Source organism: Homo sapiens, chromosome 3, assembly GCF_000001405.40.
Source record: "Homo sapiens chromosome 3, GRCh38.p14 Primary Assembly".
Classification (NCBI taxonomy): Eukaryota; Metazoa; Chordata; class Mammalia; order Primates; family Hominidae; genus Homo; species Homo sapiens.
The window spans coordinates 103794034-103796265 of record NC_000003.12 but is presented as its reverse complement, the minus strand read 5'-3'; the positions used below and the strand labels follow the sequence as shown (position 1 = coordinate 103796265).

Below are 2232 nucleotides of genomic sequence, written 5' to 3'. Positions count from 1 at the left end.
TATGAGGGTATTTTGAAAGAGCAAGTTGATAGTTGACCCCTGCCCCCTAATAAAACTTTTTAAAGCTCTCTTATGTTAGAAAAAGCAGAAAGAAAACACACACACACACACACACACACACACGTATAATGTATGAAGTGTGTACATATGCAGTGTGTATATATCTAGTGTGTGTATATATAAGGTATAGACATACACATAGTATACACACACAAACACATACAGGTTATTTGCTGCCATTTTCCCTTTGACCACTATAAGAGACTCTTCTGGTTGGCAGGGCTTTTTCACGTCTCAGTTCTAGGAGATTGGTTAATTAGCTGGAAATCAAGAGTTCAGAATTGATTCCTATAAAGCATTATTCTTCTAAATCTAAGAGAAAAGAAAAACATCTCCAGGTCATCTTCAAAGTTTAAAATATATTCATAACAATACATTGAAGATCAAAATTTATAAATATGGAAATTTGACTAATGAATTTTATAATTGTTTTAGAAATGTTATATGATTGCCCCAAACTTTCTTCCATAACAGTGGTTATAAAATTTTGCTACCTTAATTTGTTAGCCACTGCGTTTTGAACATAATAATATAATACTGGAAGCATTCATTAATGAAAATGTCATGATTCTTTCTGTCTGTCCTAAAAAATTGCTCTATGGTATCAATAACAATAACTTGAAATCTTGGATATTTTTACTCCATTATTTTCTTTAAAAATTATGTAATAATGTATCTCTTGATTTTATGAGCTACTTCACAGTTGGAATTTTAAGATTTGTTGTTAAAATGAAAAGCAAACATTCATTTCTCAAAATGCATATTTTCACCTCTTATTTACTTTTAAATTATTTTATTTGCACATTATGTACAATAAAGCCAGGCAAGCAAATAGTAAAGCTTCTCTTCTCAGAAGGGGATATCTGTCAGATACCCTTAAGCTCATGTGTAGCTGAAGGTTAGGATTTGGTCAAATGAGAAATGGAAATAAATAATCTCAAAGGAAAGTTATCCATGAAAAACACTGCATTGCCAGACAGCTGGTATTCTGTCCAGAATTTCATAACTCAGCAGATATTGAGAGCATACTGACCAAGAACTGAATATCACTGTATTTCTTAAATAGAGTTCCAATGAGACATATATTGACAAGGGTTTTCCACAGTGAAATAGAGAACCCCAATTTTCCCTAACAGATTGTGAGATATTCTATAAACAGAAAGGAATATAAAGAATGTGAGAGCCATTGTGCATTCCCATTCCCATTCTGCTTGCTGCATTATTAACTTAATGTGTAAAGATGGTCTAAACCCGGGCATGTAGTTCCTGACCTACTGTGTCAGTTACAACTGAGCCACCTAGTGGCTTGATAACATTCCAAACAGAGTCCCCCATAATGAAGTAGAATCTGCATAATTCGTATGCATTCCACAGTGTGAGAATTGCTTCCCTAAACATCTATAGCCCCCTGGGTCGAAAGCATCTTGAATCCCACCTGGAAATGACTACAAAACTGGTCCATAAGGCATCAACAGCAGATGTCCTGCATTCTCCAAATGAAACTCTTTCTGATACCTAAATCTATGACTAAGAATTATGTTTCTTCCATTTACTATGCTTTTATTCTGTATTGCCAGGAACAGTATGTTAGTCAGCAGATGAAGAGCTAGATCGCTCCTGCTTTCTTATGTATTAGCAATAGTTTACTTTATCCTTAGAGGAATGCACAACTGTTGCATTACTTAGAACAAAAAGAAAATTATATCAAGCATCTCTTGCTTTCATTCTCCTTTAGGGGGTGTTTGATGAATGATTCATAGTCATGTATATAATACACTTTGTGGCTCTTTATAGAATTGGCTATTCAAAGCATAATTCTTCTGGTCATATATTGTACATCATAGAGTTTAATTAAAAGTGTATCTGCTTCACTATGTAGTAAATGATGCATGCACATTACTCCACAGTACATACATATTTCATGTTATAATTATGCATTTCACAATCTAAAGTATGCATTTAATTATACAGAAAAGTTATACCATTTTCAAACTTGGTAAACACAGATGGAAATGGTAAACATAATTTTTTAGGAAGGAGTGAGGGGGATGTGAAAACATGGGTTCTCAAACAGTTCATATTTGAAAATTAAACCTCCCTCACCCCAATCCCTTTTATGTTTATGATCATTATACTTTTATCTGAAAGAGCATATGTAATATATCAACAATA

The 2232-nt window shown here is 33.3% G+C and overlaps 1 annotated feature.

Annotated features, from left to right (window-relative positions):
* Window positions 1228-1729: an enhancer, noted in NCBI's record as "NANOG hESC enhancer chr3:103513381-103513882 (GRCh37/hg19 assembly coordinates)". NCBI's record gives its function as "activates a minimal SCP1, AML or CMV promoter by ChIP-STARR-seq in primed H9 embryonic stem cells {active_cell/tissue: H9 hESC(primed)}" and the evidence as "EXISTENCE:reporter gene assay evidence [ECO:0000049][PMID:30033119]".